The following is a 17,349-nucleotide window of genomic DNA, read 5'->3' on the forward strand; positions in this document are numbered from 1 at the left end:
AAAACAAGAAAGAATAATTAATATGGCAGATGTGCCTTAGTCACTAAAAATAATGCTACAGGCCGGGCACGGTGGTTCATGCCTGTAATCCCAGCACCCTGGGAGGCTGAGGCAGGAGGATCATGAGGTCAGGAGATCGAGACCATCCTGGCTAACAAGGTGAAAACCCATCTCAACTAAAAATACAAAAAACAAAATTAGCCGGGCATGGTGGTGGGCACCTGTAGTCCCAGCTACTCGGGAGGCTGAGGCAGGAGAATGGCATGAACCCAGGAGGCAGAGCTCGCAGTGAGCTGAGATCACGACACTGCACTCCAGCCTGGGCGACAGAGCGAGACTCCGTCTCATAAAAAAAAAAAAAAAAAAAAAAAGATGCTACAAAGTGTAATATTTTGACCACTTGACTGAGTAATTACTTTAACGTTCACTATAGCACTTTAAATAACTAAATACCATTATATTTGAGAGACCAGTGATAGCTAAACATATATGCCAATTTTACAGGGAAGTGGAGGTGAAGAAAAAGAACAGTTAAACACTGTAATTTTAAAAATATAAATGTCACTCAAGCCAAGCTGTTCACTGAAAACCTGAACAGTTAAACTTCGGAGTTTTTTTAATTTTGTATTGAATCATCTTTGGGTAAGTCAGTACTTTATACATGCACTTTTGACGAATAAGTTTCACCAGTCAACTACCATTAAACAAAGACTCATCATAGGTTATTAAAAATGGATGATGTATATGTATAACCACTCAGACCCACAACATATTCATATACTCAAGCCATGCCTCATTTCATATTCTGGTAAGAACTAAAAGAGAACGCCAGACATCGTTTATCTTAATAACTAAGTAGGGGAGGCTTTTATAGAATGTTTGTGGTTACAGAGCACTTTTATAATATTCCATTATTTTCCTATTTTGGCAAAGCAATGACAGCCACTCACAAAATTATTACCTATAAGATAATGTAGGCTGATTAATTAGGCAAAATTAAGTTGATTCATACCTGAACAAACATTAATCAATAAACCAACATAAATTAAGATCCAAATTTCCCAAATTGGTGTTGCACGGAACCAGGTTTGCTTTATTACCCTCTTAAGAGAGTCATCCCAAAATACATTAGCATCTTAAAACTGAATATTCTATAGGTGTCAAAAAACTTAAGACAGCACTGCTTAAATTTACTGGCACTTTTTTTTTTTTTTTTTTGAGACAGGGTCTCACTCTGTCGCCCAGGCTGGAGTGCAGTGCTGCAATCTCAGCTCACTGCAACCTTGCCTCACAAGGTTCAAGCAATTCTCCTGCCTCAGCCTCCCAAGTAGCTGGGAAATTACAGGCGCCCACCATGGCACCCAGCTAACTTTTTTATTTTTAGTAGAGACGGGGTTTCACCATGTTGGCCAGGCTGGTCTCGAACTCCTCCTGACCTCAGGTGATCCACCCACCTGGGCCTCCCAAAGTGCTGGGATTACAGGCATGAGTCGCTGCGCCCCGCCAGCACACACTTTTTTTAACCTCACACGTGGAGTATTCCAAGACAGCACTACTACCATCAAACGGTTATTACCAGGATCACTTACATGGCCTACTCCAGCTCTGAGGATGCTGCCCAGGAATGTAGTTATTTTGTTGGTTTTCTTTTTTTTTTTTTTTTTTTTTTTTAAGAGACAAGGTCTCACTCTGTCACCCAGGCTGGAACGCAGTGGCACAATCAGAATTCACCACAGCCTTGACCTCCAAGGCTCAAGCAATCCTCCCACCTCAGCCTCCCAATTAGCTATACCAGTCTTAGTGTAATGGTCATAAACCTTGTGTTCAAATTTGGTCACAGGTGTTCACTTTGTTCACTTTTTTCTTTTTTAAAGACAGAGTACTCCCTCTATCGCCCAGGCTGGAGTGCAGCAGCACCATCATGGTTCAAACCAGCCTCAACCTCCTGGGTTCAAGCAATCCCTGCACCTCAAGCTCCCGAGTAGCTGGGATTACAGGCAGGGACCACCATCCTTAATGTTTTATTTTCTGGTAGAGACAGGGTCTCACTATACTGCCCAAACTGGTCTTGAACTCCTGGGCTCAAGCAATCTACCTGCCTTGGCATCTCAAGTGCTGGGATTACAGCATGAGCCATCCTGCCCAGCGAGGAATGTGTATTTTGTAAAAGCTTCCCAAATTCTGATGAACCAGGATAAGGAATCACTAAAAATACTTTTAACTTTTTCTTCCCTTGAAGTCATCTTCCACAGTAATAAGAACTCCTGGCGACATTTCATCATTTAAGTAGTAAATGTGATTAAATGATTTGAAGGAAAAAAAACTACTTTTAATCAGCATATTAGGCAAGATTATACTATAAAGATCATCTTAAAGCATACAAAGACAATTTTATCTAAATTAAGTTTTAAAATGCATTTGTTGACATATCTACTTTAAAACGGCTTATCTTGGGCTGGGCATGGTGCTCACACCTGTAATCACAGCACTTTGGGAGGCCAAGGCAGGTGATCACCTGAGGTCAAGAGTTTGAGATCAGCCTGGCCAACACGGTGAAACTCCACCTCTACTAAAAATACAAAAACTAGCCAGGCGTGGTGGCGGGGGCCTGTAGTCCCAGCTACTCAAGAGGCTGAGGCAAGAGAACACTTGAACCCAGGAGGCAGAGGTTGCAGTGAGCTGAGATCCCTCCACTGCACTCCAGCTTGGGCAACAGAGCGAGACTCCGTCTCAAAAAAAAAATAAAAAATAAAAATAAAATGGCATGCCCTGTTTGTAAACTCATGAATGTTAAAAATGTAGGCTAAAATGGCATACATTACACAGGGGCAAAACTGCCTATGTACCCTGATATTTGGACTTCTTATGTTTCCGACTAAAATTTTTTTTTAACAATTTTTGTATTTTGTTACTACGTGATAAGCTAAAAGTGGCTTCAAAACGGCATCTACAAACACTTCAAATAACACATTCCAAGTATGAACAGTCTCTGGTCTCCAAAAATAAAAAGCAATACTGGGTAGCACTGTATTTTCTCTTTTTAACGTTACTTTTTGAAATATTACCAAGGACCTGTTCAGATACAGGATGTTAACACAGACAACTTATAAAGAATAAAAGACACTTTGGGAGGCTGAGGTGGGCAGATCACGAGATCAGGAGTTCAAGACCAGCCTGGCCAAAATGGTGAAATCCCATCTCTACTAAAAATACAAAAATTAGCCGGGCACGGAGGCTGGCACCTGTAATCCCAGCTACTCGGGAGGCTGAGGCAGGAGAATTGCTGGAACCCGGGAGGCGGAGGTTGTAGTGAGCCAAGATCGCACCACTGCACTCCAGCCTGGGCGACAGAGCAAGACTCCGTCTCAGAAAAAAAAGAAAAAACAAAAGAAAAGAAAAGAAGAGGAGGAGAGGAGGGAAGGAGGGAAGGAGGGAGGGAGGGAGGGAGGGAGGGAGGGAGGGAGGGAGGGAGGGAGGGAAGGAGGGAAGGAAGGAAGGAAGGAAGGAAGGAAGGAAGGAAAAAGGAGTTGGCCGGGCGTGGTAGCTCAAGCCTGTAATCCCAGCACTTTGCGGGGCGGGGGAGCAGAGGAGGGTGGATCATCTGAGGTCAGAAGTTCAACACTAGCCTGACCAATGTAGTGAAATTCTGACTCTATTAAATAAAAAAAAAAAAAATCAGGCATGGTGGCACATGCCTGTAATCCCAGCTACTTAAGAGGCTGAGGCAGGAGAATCACTTGAACACAGGAGGTGGAGGTTGCAGTGAGGTGAGATTGCGCCACTGCACTCCAACCTGGCGACAGAGTAAAACTCTGTCTCAAAAAAAAAGAAAAAAGTAACAAAAATCGTGAACCAAATATTTAGAATCATTTACATTTTTATGCTCATCATCTAGTATTTCATTATCGACTTAATTTTCTTAATGCTTCTTGTCTCTAACCGTTGATCTATTGAATGAAGTATTGAAACAATGAGTAAGAGTTAATAAAATACATGACTAAGATTAAAACAATATGAAACCTTCATGACAGAAGGATTAAGCTGAATTATTAACTGGTTACAGCACCACTAATTTGTCTCATGCTCATTTGACATCTCTTCACATTACCTCATTTTAAAGGAAGATAAACATTTAAAATGTTTTCTCTTTTTCTAAAGTAACAGAAGTCCTTTCACTACCACCGTGGAACACCTTCTTGGGCCCGATTACTAAGGTGAAGAAATTGTTCTAAAGGTCTGTAAATGGTAAGCTCCAAAAATTTGTTCACAACCCCATCCAGCTCAATGTTTTAAAATCAAAACTTGGCCGGGCGCGGTGGTTCACACCTGTAATCTGAGCACTTTGGGAGGCTGAGGCAGGTGGATCACCTGAGGTCAGGAGTTGAAGACCAGCCTGGCCAACATGGTGAAATCCCGTATCTACTAAAAATACAAAAACTAGCCGGGCGTGGTGGTAGACGCCTGTAATCCCAGCTACTCGGGAGGCTGAGGCAGAAGAACTGCTGGAACCCAGGAGACGAAGGTTGCAGTGAGCCAACACAGTGTCACTGCACTCCAGCCTCGGCAACAGAGTGAGACTCTGTCTCAAAAAATAAATAAATAAATAAATAAATAAATAAATAAATAATCAAAACTTACGTGGGCTGAAGAAAAAAAAATTTTTTAATTTAAAATTTTTTTAAAAAATCAAAACTTAAACAAGATGAAAACACTGAAGGCAAATTTCTCACACAGTTTTAAGAACAAATCTAAGTTCTTTAAATGTTATAACACTGTCCAACAGAACTTTATGCAACAATGGAAATGTTTTATATCTGCAATGTCCAATAAGGAAGCCATTACACTCACATGTGGCTACTGAGCATTTACAATGTTGTTAAGGATAACAGAAGAACTGGATTTTAAATTGTATTTACTTTTAATTAGACGAAATTTAAATTGTCACATATGGCTAGTGGCTTTGTATAAAATGTAGGTTTAGAATGTGATCTTATTCTGCTTCCAGACAAAATTGGAATAATCAGATTTACTCTCCTAACTGAAATAACTAAAAAACAGAATAGAACAATAGGTTTTCAAATATTGACGAACAGGCGGCACAGGACAGTGATCCCTGAAAAGGGGAACAAATATAAACCCTACAACCATCCTAGCTTATTGCCTGGGAATACTTTTCAGGCCAAAAAGCACAGGGAGGGAGAATCCAAAGCCTGGATTGAGGGGGGTGGGGGAGAAAAAGCTCCCCTGAATTGAGAAGCCAGAGCTGGAAGCCAAGGCAGCTGGACTTGTCAGAGCGAAGCACAGAGATGAGAGAGCTGCACAGAGAAAGAGGTCCAGCGCACCACTGCACTCCAGCCTGGGAGACAGAGCGAGACTCCGTCTCAAAAAAAAAAAAAAAGAGAAAGAAGTCCAGAGTGGTGTACCAGGTCCCTCTCAAGTCTTCAGCTCAGTACTGATTAATTAGCACATGCGTATAAACTACCAGAGAAGCCCCAGAAAGAAGCAGTGGAAACAATCCCCACAACTCACAGAAGTAGCAGAGTAATTCCTCCTTCCACTACCCAAAGTGAGAATCTCACAAGGCATCAGATGAGTAGTCAGAAGGTTCCTGCCCTCAGTAGCATGGAAAAACTAGTCTCTAAAAGCTGCTGCGACTCTGCTGAACAAAAGCTTAAAAACAAGCCTTGAAAGGATCAAACAGTCTCCAAGTAACTTAGCCTCATCCCAGAACGAAGCTCAAGAATATTTGTAGTACAAAAATATCCAGCAACAAAGTAAAATTTTACAAGGTAAAACTCACAATAGCTGGAAAATTAACCAGGCCAAGAAAGAAGCAGGAAAATATAACCCATGATGAGAAGAAAAACCAGTGCGAGCAACAAACCCAGAAAATGAAAGATGATAGAATTAGTAAACAACATTAAAAATGAAATTTATATTAAGCCAAATGCGGTGGCTCACTCCTGTAACCCCAGCACTTTGGGAGGCCAAGGTAGGAGGAGAAAAATACTTGAGGCCAAGAGTTCAAGACCAGTCTGGGAAACACAGGGAGGCCCCACCTCTATGAAAAATTTTTAAAATGAAAGTTTTGTTTTTTGGTTTTTTTTTGAGACAAGGTCTCACTCTGCCACCCAGGCTGGAGTGCAGTGGCACGACCTCGATCACTGCAACCTCTGCCTCCTGGGCTCAAGCAATCCTCCCACCTCAGCCTCCCAAGGGTCTGTGACTACAGGCACGCACCAACCATGTCCAGCTAATTTTTGTATTTGTTGTAGAGGCAGGGTTTTGCCATGTTGCCCAGGCTAGAAAAATCAAAGTTATTAAAATGGTAGTTATTTTAACTATATTCCATAAGTTCCAAAAGGTTTCATAAACCTACCAACAGAGCTTCAAAATACATGCAGCAAAAACTTATGATAAAACTCTGAAGAGAAACTGAAAACACATATAGTTCAGATTTCAACTCAATAACTGACAAAACTACTAAGAGTCTGTAAGAACAGAGAAAATAATGAACAATACTATCGACTAACCTGTGAAAATGTTTTAACTGACCAGAAATATTGTGAATCAACAACTGTTCTCTAACTGCCAAACAAGATAAAGCAATCCTGACTCTTATCCAGGTAATAAGATTTCACAAAATAATTGAAGATCACATCATTAGAATTCTATGGTCCTGGCCAGGCGTGGTGGCTCATGCCTGTAATCGCAGCACTTTGGGAGGCAAAGGCGGGCGGATCACGAAGTCAGGAGATAGAGACCATCCTGGCTAACACGGTGAAACCCCGTCTCTACTAAAAATACAAAAAATTAGCCGGGCGTTGACGGTGGGCGCCTGTAGTCCCAGCTACTCGGGAGGCTGAGGCAGGAGAATTGCTCGAACCCGGGAGGCGGAGGGTGCAGTGAACCCAGATGGTGCCACTGCACTTTAACCTGAACGACAGAGTGAGACTCCGTCTGAAAAAAAGAATTCTATGGTTCTGGGCTGGGCACAGTAGCTCATGTCTGTAATCCCAGCACTTTGGGAGGCCAAGGCAGGCAGATCACCTGAGGTCAGGAGTTCAAGACCAGCCTGGCCAACATGGTGAAACCCGTCTCTATAAAAACACAAAAAAAAATGAGCTGGGCATGATGGCAGGAGCCTGTAATCCCAGCTACTCCAGAGGCTGAGGTGGGAGAATCCCTTGAACCCAGGAGGCGGAGGTTGCAGCGAGCCGAGATCCCACCATTGCACTCCAGCCTGGACGACAGAGCGAGACTCCGTCTCAAAAAAACAAACAAACAAAAAAAAGAATTCCATGGTTCTGAACAACCTCCAGCGTACAAGAAGGGGCCTGGATAAATCCTTCATTCCTGAGAATTACAAACCCGAATTCTTACAGGAGCAAGTTAGATAAAGGTTAAAAAAAAAAAAAGGGGGGGGGGGGGACAAAGGTCACGTGTGACCAAGGACAAACTGAGGAGGACATACTCCTACCACCAAAGAAAAAAGCCAATCTCTCAAATCTAGCCAATGATGCTAGCCAATAATGGAATGCTTCCAATTCAATGCTTCCACTGTTGCAAAACCTCATACTTTTCCAGGAAGTGCCTAAAAATTTGGATTTTTATGTGAGGTCTAGGTTTGGAAACAGTAACCACCAACTCATTTTTTTTTGAGACTGAGTCTTGCTCTGTAGCCCAGGCTGGAGTACAGTGGCAGGATCTCAGTTCACTGCAACCTCCACCTCCCAGGTTCAGGCAATTCTCCTGCCTCAGCCTCCCAAGTAGCTGTGATTACAGGCATGCGCCACCACACCCGGCTTATTTTTTGTATTTTTAATAGAGACAAGGTTTCACCATGTTGGCTAGGCTGATCTCAAACTCCTGACCTCAAAGGATCCGCCAGCCCTAGCCTCCTGAAGTGCTGGGATTACAGGCATGAGCCACTGTGCTCAGCCCAATTCAGCAAATTTTTAACAAAGCTAAAAAAAAAAAAAAAAAGTCTGGAAATCAAATTCATAGCAAAAGTTATGCTTTAATCCAACAACCTCATCTTACAAATGAAACAGAAAAATCATTCAAGTCATCATAGAAGATAACTTCATCTAACCTTATCTAAAATACTATAGATATGGACACAAAAATCACCCTTTTAGAGGAAACTAAAACAAGGATGCTACCAGAATAACTTGGGACACAACTCTTTTTTTCTTTTTTTTTGGAGGGGGGGGTGGGGGAAGGGACAGAGTCTCACTGTCGCCCAGGCTGGAGTGCAGTGGTGCAATCTTGGCTCAATGCAACCTTCGCCTCCTGGGTTCAAGCAATTCTCCTGTGCGCACCACCACGCCCGGCTAATTTTTGTATTTTTAGTAGAGACAGGGTTTCACCATGTTGGCCAGGCTGGTCTCAAACTCCTGACCTCAGATGATCCACCTGCCTCGGCCTCCCAAAGTGCTGGGATTACAGGCGTGAGCCACCACGCCTGGCCAGGACCCAACTCCTCAGGAATGACAAAGCTGTCTTCCAACGCTGAAGGGCAAAATTTTATCAAAGGCTTTCTGAATTATTCCAGAAGACAAAACTAAAATCAATGGAGACAATTACATACAGACAAGGTAACTTGGGGAAAATGGAAGCCAAAAAAAAAAATTGTTCTAAAAGAGGTTGTCAAAACAACAGCATGGCTGTTTTGCAGAATATTTAGCTCAATTACCACAACCATATCGCTAAAAATCCCTGAAGAATTCTTTAACTAGGCTATCCTTACATTACTTCAAACCTAGACTACCTCAACTCTTCAGGTTCCCCAAAAATCAACATCCTTCCTTACTTCATTTCTGATATGAACTAAGTGACCTTTTGACTCCTTCAATTTTTCCCATATGTCTGTGTCAAACTGCCAGGTTTTGTCAGTTCTTCAACACCATTGTATAACTGTCCCTAGATATCCATGGGTGATTGGTTCAAGCATCTCGCTTGAATACCAAAATCTGCAGATACTGAAGTCCTTGATATAACACAACATAGTATTTGCACATAACCTAAGCATATCCTCCTCTATTCTTCTAATCAGGGGTCCCTAAGCCTCCAGGTTATGGACAGGCTCCGGTCCTTGGCCTGTTAGGAACCAGGCTGCACAGCAGGAAGTGAGCAGGAAGTGAACTGGGTCCAGCAAGCAAAGCTTCACAGCCACTCCCCACTGCTCGCATTACCACCTGAGCTCTGCCTGTCAGATCTGCAGTGGCATTAGACTCTCATAGGAGCACAAACACTATTGTGAATTGTGCAAGCAAGGCATCTAGGCTGCACACTCATTAAGAAATAATGCTTGATGATCTGTCACTGTCTCCCATCACCCCCAGATGGGACCCTTGTGGAAAACACGCTCAGGGCTCCCACTAATCCTACATTATAGTGAACTCTATAATTATTTCATTACATATTACAATGTAATAATAATAGAAATAAAGTGCACAATAAATGTAATGTGCTTGAATCATCCTGAAACCATCCCCTGACCCTGTGGAAAAATAGTCTTCCATGAAACCAGTCCCTAGTGCCAAAAAGGTAGGGAACTGCCGCTTTAAATCATCTGCAGATTACTTATAACACCTAAACAATATAAATACTATGTAAGTAGTTGTTATACTGTAATGCTTAGAGAATCCTGACCAAAAAAAAATGTCCATACATGTTCAGCATAGTTGCAATTTTTTCCCAAATATTTTAGATCCAAGGTTGGCTGAATCCACAAATGCAGAACCCACAGATACGGAGGATTAGCTGTACATTTTATCAAGTACATGTTATGTGAAAGCACTGTGCTAAACATACTCACCAACTTAAGACTAGAAAACATCTCATTTAATCAATTTATAACGAGATAAACCCAACTACGACAAAGATAACACAATACATTTCAAATTAAAATGTTATGATAACCGTAAGAATGATCAAATGTTCCCTTTTCATTTTATGTTGTTCCCTTTCTTTTCACTCCCACCACTCTATTCAAGCCTCATTAAAGAATCCTCTTATTAGAGACTCCAAACAAACCATATTTGGCCAGGCGCAGTGGCTCACGCCTGTAATCCTAGCACTTTGGGAGGTCGAGGTGGGAGGATGACCTGAGGTCAGGAGTTCAAGACCAGCCTGGCCAACATGGTGAAACCCTGTCTCTACTAAAAATACATGAAAAAAAAAATTAGCTGGGTGTGGCGGATGCCTGTAGAGTCCCAGCTACTCTAGGAGGCTAAGGCAGGAGAATAGCTTGAACCAGGAGATGGACGTTGCAGTGAGCCGAGATCACACCACTGCACTCCAGCCTGGGTGACAGGGCAAGACTCCGTCTCAAAAAAAAAAAAAATTTTTTTTGACCCCCAAATTAATATTTTCTAAAACAATTTCAGTTGTATCACTATCCTACTTAAATATTGTTTTTCAAATGCTTATAACACTGATTTGCAAATCCTCTCATCCCAATCAAGATAGGCAGTTAAAATGCAGATTACAAGGGCCTGTCCACAGAGATTCTAATTCAATCAGTCTGGTGTGATGATTAGCAAGCTGGATTTTAATAAGCTTTTAGGTGATTTTGATTCAGGTGGCCTGTAGAACATATTTTTTAAAAAAAAGAAAGAAAGAAACGGGTCTACAGGGTGAATGTCACATTCCTTAGCCTGGGATCAAAACTCTCCACACAAAAGGCCCCTGAATAACCACTATAGGGCAAGGGCTCTCCTACAAGAGCTCTTCATTCCAGGTAAACCCAATTTACTGCTGTTTACACAAGCCAAAGGTTTTCTCCTTCAGGCCTTACTTAAAAATGTCCACTAGGCCAGGCGCAGTGGCTCACACCTGTAATCCCACCACTTTGGGAGGCCAAGCTGGGGGAGTTCACAAGGTACAGAGATCGAGACCATCCTGGCCAACATGGTGAAACTCCGTGTCTACTAAAAATACACTAATTAGCTAGGCGTGGTGGGGCATGCCTATAGTCCCAGTTACTCAGGAGACTGAGGCAGGAGAATCGCTTGAACCCATGAAGCAGAGGTTGCAGTGAGCCGAGATCGCACCACTGCAGTCCAGCCTGACAACAGAGCAAGACTCCATCTGGAAGAAGAAAAAAAAAAAAAAAAAGTCCACTAACAGGCTGGGTTCAGTGGCTCATGCCTATAATCCTAGCATTTTGGGAGGCCAAAGTGGAAGGACTGCCTCAGGCCAGGAATTCAAGACCAGCCTGGACAATACAGCAAAACCCCATCTCTACAAAATATCTGAAATTTAGCAGGGCATTGATGGCGTATGCCTGTAGTGTCAGCTACTCAGGACGATGAGGTGGGAGGACTGCTGGAGCCCACATCGAGCCACTGCACTCCAGCCTGGGGAAGAGAGCAAGACCCTGTCTCAAAAAAAAAAAAAAAAAAAAAGTATCCACTACACCACTTCTCTTGGCCCAGCTCAAGCCCCACACCTACCAGATCTTACCAGACTGAAACAGTCTCATCTGCCTAATTCTACAGTACCATACTGCCTGCCTTGAACCCACATTTAAACTATTATTACCTTTTCAACTTATCATAAGATGAAGGGCTGCAAATCAAACCTCTTTTCATCTCAGCACTGGTAACAATGCATTTAGGGAGTCCTTTCCCTAAAGCAGTATCATCTTGCATAAATATACCCAAGTAGAAGCAAATATTTTAGAACTTTTATAGATTTTTCTTAGGAGATTTTCCTTAGGAAAAGAGATCATACAAGCCTGGGCAACATGGTGAAACCCTGTCTCTACAAAAAAAAAAAAAAAAAAAAAAAAAAAACACACACACAAAAATAAGGCGAGCATGGTACCGCACGCCTACAGTCCCAACTAATTGAAAGGCTGAGGTGGGAGGACAGCTTAAGCCCAAGAGGTTGAGCTGCACTGAGCCGTGATCATGCCACCACATTCCAGCCTAGGCAACAGAACAAGACCCTGTCTCGAGAAAATTAAAAAAAAAAAAAAAAGTTAAGAAAATAGATCTGCTATCTATAGCTGAATTGTATCTACCAAGAAAATTACTAACTAAACACAGTTCTTCCTACCTGCATACTAGATAAATGTGCTCTAAAGAATTCTTCCCAGAGGCTGGGCGCAGTGGCTCACACCTGTAATCTCAGCACTTTGGGAGGCGGAGTCGGGCGGATCACGAGGTCAGGAGATCGAGACCATCCTGGCTAACACAGTGAAACCCCTTGTCTACTAAAAACACAAAAAATTAGCCGGGCGAGGTGGCGGGTGCCTGCAGTCCCAGCTACTCAGGAGGCTGAGGCAGGAGAATGGCGTGTACCCGGGAGGTGGAGCTTGCAGTGAGCCAAGATGGCGCCACTGCACTCCAGCCTGGGCGACAGCGAGACGCCGTCTCAAAAAAAAAAAAAAAAAAGAATTCTTCCCAGATCAGAAAACAGGTAAACTAAGAAAAAACTGTTAAAATAGACCCTGTTTTAACACCAATGTTTAACCTCTGACCAAAGAGCTATTCAAAAACAAACTCTACACAAATAAATGCGCTTTCATGGTTAATTTCTGAAACTTTACATGTACAAAATGTTAATTGGTAAGTTTTCTACAAATATTAACCAGGCGCGGGGGTGCACTTTCGTAGTTCCTGCTACTTGGGAGGCTGAGGTGGGAGGATCACCTGGACCCGGGAGACAAAGGTTGCAGTAAGCCGAGATCATGCCACTGCACTCCAGCCTGGGCAACATAGCAAGACCCTGTCTCAAAAATAAAAAATTACTAATTTTTCTATCGTGACACATGAGGTCTGTTATAGCTTAAGTGCCTCTACTCAGCACTTGGCCAATAATTGTTGGTTTACTTGTCTTCCCAGTAACACTGACCAATATATATGGGCCTGTGCCATGTGTCTTATTCATCTTTCTATCTTAGCATCTAGAACATCACAGGTGACCAATAAAGAAATAGTACAGCTACCGGGGCTCACACCTGTAATCCCAGCATTTTGGGAGACCCAGGCCAGATGAGTTCAAGACCAATCTAGACAACACAGCAAGGCCACATCTCTACAAAAAAAATTTTTAAATTAGCCAACCACGTGTGGTGGCGCACACCTGTAGTGTTAGCTACTCTAGAGGCTAATGCCAGAGGACTGGAGTTGGAGGCTGCAGTGAACTATGACTGCACCACTGCACTCCAGCCTGGGTGACAAAACAAGATTGTCTCAAAAAAAAAAAAAAAGGAAAATATTCATGTTCCCGAGTTTGACCATGATACTTTCCAAGTTATCTCCAAGAATAGTATTTTTCCATTTAACATGACCCTCCAATCCTAACAGGATTTTTGATTGTATACATCAGACTTGTTACATCATTTGAAGAGTTACAAGTTTAATGAAAACATAAAATCCTTAGGCCAAAACTTATCAAGTCTCATCTTATCAAAAGAAAAAAACAATTCTACTTTCTGATAAAGCAAGTCCAACATTTAGAACATGAGCGAGAAATCGACACTTAAAAATAGTACCCATAGTGATTTTTGTCTTGGTCAGTTTCTGTGGCCTAGAAAGTACAGTAATTCTCTACAGCAAGGCTATCCCATTCACTAGAAGCTTCAGAAGGTTTAAATATACAAAGCAATTGAAAAACAAGCAGTGATAATCAGCTAATTAACATATCAAAGAACAGTAATAACAAAACTGTAACTGCAATGAATAATCTAGGTTTGACAATAATTGACCTGATAGTTTAGTCTCTTCCCTCACCTCCACCCACCATTGTCTACTGTGCAAAGGTGGGATATTAAGTACCTAATATGTGCCAGACACTGAATCTGTAGACTTGTTCTCATGGGTTCAAAAACTTTTTTCAGGCTGAGCACGGTGGCTCACACCTGTAATCCCAGCACTTTGGAAGGCCAAGGCGGGCGGATCACAAGGTCAGGAGTTCAAGACCAGCCTGGCCAACATGGTGAAACCCCGTCTCTACAAAAAATACAAAAATTAGCTGGGTGTGGTGGCGTGAGTCTGTAATCCCAAGCTACTCGGGAAGCTGAGGCAGGAGAATCACTTGAACCCAGGAGGTAGAGGTTGCAGTGAGCCGAGATTGCGCCACTGCACTCCAGCCTGGGTGAAAGAACAAGAATCCGTCTCAAAAAAAAAAAAAAAAAAGTCTTTTCAGGCCAGGAGCCACAGTGGCTTACACCTGTAATGCCTGCACTTTGGGAGGCCAAGGCACAAGGATAGTTTGAGCCTAGGAGTTCAAGACCTGCCTGGGCAACACGGTAAGACCCTCTCCCTACAAAAACTTTAGCTGGGCATGATGGTACATGCCTGTAGTTCTAGCTAATTAGGAGGCTGAGGTGGAAGGACTGCATGAATCCAGGAGTTTAAGGCTGCAGTGAGCTAGGATCGCACCACTGCACTCCAACCTGAGCAACATAGCAAGATCCTGTTTCAATAAAAAGTTTTTTCAAACCGCTTAAAAATAAGCCCACACATAACACAAATTTAGAGAAACAAACTTGAAGAAGATAAAGGCAATTGGCAAAAAGTTAAAGCAATGTGCCTACACAGTAAGTAAAAGCCAAATTTCAACCTAATTGCAAAGTTTGAAGGGCTTTTTCCCTCCCTCACCTCTTCCTCTGAGGCTGTCATAAACACCTACATGTAAGTCACCAGGCAGGAAAGAATGTGAAGCAGAAGAAATACAAAACTGTAAAAGAAAAAACAATGTCTTCCCTAAAAAGTTTATTATATGTATCAAGAAAATCAGACTGATACAAAATCTGCACTCAAAGGAGATATAAGTATCTTATGACTGGAACAAAGGTTTACAGAAGGTTTAGACAAGAAAGATAACTTTTTTATTTTTTTGAGCCGGAGTTTCACTCTGTTGCCCAGTCTGGAGTGCAGTGGTGCGATCTCGGCTCACTGCAACCTCTGCCTCCCAGGTTCAAGCAATGTCTGGAGATCGGCCTCAGCCTCCTGAGTAACTGGGATTACAGGCACCTGCCACCACACCCAGCTAATTTGTGTATTTTTAGTAGAGATGGGGTTTCACTATGTTGGCCAGGCTGGTCTCCAACTCCTGACCTCAAGCGATCCGCCCACCTTGGCCTCCCAAAGTGCTGGGATTACAGGCACCTGGCCAGAAGTAACTTTTTGCTGCAGTGAGCAAGGAAGACTTCACCAAGGAGGCAGGGAGTTGAGTTAGGCCTTTAGAAAAAAGTAGTGTTTTAGGCAGAAGAAAATTAAGAAAGCAAAGATAAAAAAAAAAAGAAAAAGATATAAAAAAGCATGTTTGAAAGGACAAAAATATCAATCCAGTTAAAAGAGAATTATGTAAAACCACAGTTGAATAAAAGGATGAAAAGGTAGTAGCGGGTCAAATCTACAGGACGTGTTGAAACAAATTCCCTAATTAAGCATTACAACAGAATTAAACTTCATTTTTACAAATGCATTATCTTCATGAAATAAGACTGCCCATCCACGAATTTGAATGCACTAATGCTTTTCAGCTAAGGAAAAAAGTCTAGTACATACCTGGTACAAAAATATGTCAATGCTGGGCTGAATTCAAATAACTGATTTTTTTTCTATGTCTTTATAATCATAGACTTACGTCCAAAGAGATGGGAGGAAAAAAACCTGAACCTACATCCCTATTACTGAAACCATGCCAGCTACTCAATCATAAGGGAGAAGCAGAACTCACGATCTTTTCCATAGGATGATGTGAAATAAGAAAGCCCTGTCAGAAAAATTCCCCTTGTGTTGCCAAGACTGACAAAAAATAAAAATAAAAAAGGCTCCAGTTGGACTTTTAAATGTAGTGGGTTTTTTTTATCTTTAATTCCATTATTTAAAGTCCAGGTTAGAACTTGGGAAAATGTTCAATTAGACCACCACTACCATCCGAAAGCTATTAATAGGAACTTAAAACCTCTGAGGTTCTTAACAGTTTTAGGATAGTGGTGGTCTGCACAACTCAAAACTACCATTTCCCACTTAAATTAGAGAGCTAAGTTTCACCCATCTAGTAAACAGGGGACCTACCAGATTCTACAAATGTTAACTGATAATGACATCACTCTCAAATGCTGTTTCAGCAGGACAGAGTGGGCCCTTCCTCTTCCCCCTACCTCACCATAGTAGCACCCTACGGCCGGCACCAAAGGAAAAGAAAAAAAAAAGTATATGGAGAAGGAAGTTATGGCAGCTCCATTTCCTCAGTCCTCAAACCATCAAAATATGTGAGGACATTAAAAAAAAAAAGCACTCCATAAAAGTGGGAGTAGAGTGAGAGGTTACCATGAAACCAGGCAAACTCTTGATACACTTACATTTGTAAAACTTAAGCTGAAAGGAAACTGAATCTAGCCGAAAATTATCATTTTACACATCAAGAAACTGAGGCCCAGGGCAGTTAGGTGATTTGCCCTGGGCGACTATTCCTCTAAGGTGTTAAGTGTCTGTCACCAGTCAGAGTAGCACTTAATGACTTACTCAGTTACTTAAATGTTTATGACCTTAAGTACCTGTCTTGCAAAAAACACCACCGCCACCTCTTCTGCACCCATTCAGTGTCTTGCTTCAGGATCTAGATAGAGAATGCTGGATAAACCTCAAATGAATATTATTTCTCCCTTCAGCCACAACTGTCCCAAATTACTCTTCTTCCTTTATCTACTTTTAAATAAAGTGGAAACCTTAACGTGCCTGAATTTCCCAGGTTCTGACTAAACAAGTGGATCATCAAAACTTCAAAATTTAGGATAGAATATTAAGTGGAGCATGCATATTACTGCTTTGGCAGTTGCCCTTTCTTTTGTATTAACGTTTCAGTCCAGGTTTTTCGAAAAGCAAGTAATTATTACACACGCACAGTTAACATTCAAATTATCACTTTTGAGATATTTTCCTTAGACAATTTAGCATATCTCTTCTATCTTAAAAATTAAAGTATCCTACCCACCACGAGTTAATTTTTTTTAACAAAAACATCTAAAATAACCCTCGACAAAGCCAAAGTATATTAAACCACAAAATGAAAAAGTGGTAAGTAAAAGTCTCACCAGCTAAAAAGCACTTCGAGTACCAACAGCCTTCCCCGGCTCGCTGTTAACCGTCAAACCGTCAAAGCATTTGTGGAGGAACCTGGGGCAAAGTTCCGCGCCGGGTTCTCCAGCTGTGGGTTCATCAGCTTAGCCCACCACTCCCACGTAACACCAGTTTGGGGAAATGCAAACACGCCACATGTGCCCACATGTGCATGTTTTGATCATGTTTAACCACTTTTAACCGCCGTAGGTACGTAATCAGCTCCCGCGGCAAAGGTTTAAGAAAAAAAAAAAAAAAGCCT

The 17,349-nt window shown here is 42.0% G+C and overlaps 1 protein-coding gene across 3 annotated transcripts in view, besides 2 other annotated features; it reads right to left on the bottom strand.

The window, feature by feature from the left end:
* MSL2 (MSL complex subunit 2) overlaps positions 1 to 17,349 on the bottom strand; it is a 47,419-nt gene that overhangs the window by 28,416 nt on the left and 1,654 nt on the right. The window contains exon 1 of one of the 3 annotated variants that reach the window (NM_001145417.2): positions 17,063 to 17,136. The exons of the other annotated variants lie outside the window; for them this stretch is intronic. The gene's annotated coding sequence lies outside the window, so the exon portion shown is untranslated. Of the gene's footprint in view, positions 1 to 17,062; positions 17,137 to 17,349 lie in introns of those variants that run through there. 3 annotated transcript variants of the gene reach the window in all.
* Positions 10,651 to 11,152: an enhancer, noted in NCBI's record as "H3K4me1 hESC enhancer chr3:135906825-135907326 (GRCh37/hg19 assembly coordinates)". NCBI's record gives its function as "activates a minimal SCP1, AML or CMV promoter by ChIP-STARR-seq in primed H9 embryonic stem cells {active_cell/tissue: H9 hESC(primed)}" and the evidence as "EXISTENCE:reporter gene assay evidence [ECO:0000049][PMID:30033119]".
* Positions 11,787 to 12,288: an enhancer, noted in NCBI's record as "H3K4me1 hESC enhancer chr3:135907961-135908462 (GRCh37/hg19 assembly coordinates)". NCBI's record gives its function as "activates a minimal SCP1, AML or CMV promoter by ChIP-STARR-seq in primed H9 embryonic stem cells {active_cell/tissue: H9 hESC(primed)}" and the evidence as "EXISTENCE:reporter gene assay evidence [ECO:0000049][PMID:30033119]".

Source organism: Homo sapiens, chromosome 3 (genome assembly GCF_000001405.40).
Source record: "Homo sapiens chromosome 3, GRCh38.p14 Primary Assembly".
Taxonomy (NCBI): domain Eukaryota; kingdom Metazoa; phylum Chordata; class Mammalia; order Primates; family Hominidae; genus Homo; species Homo sapiens.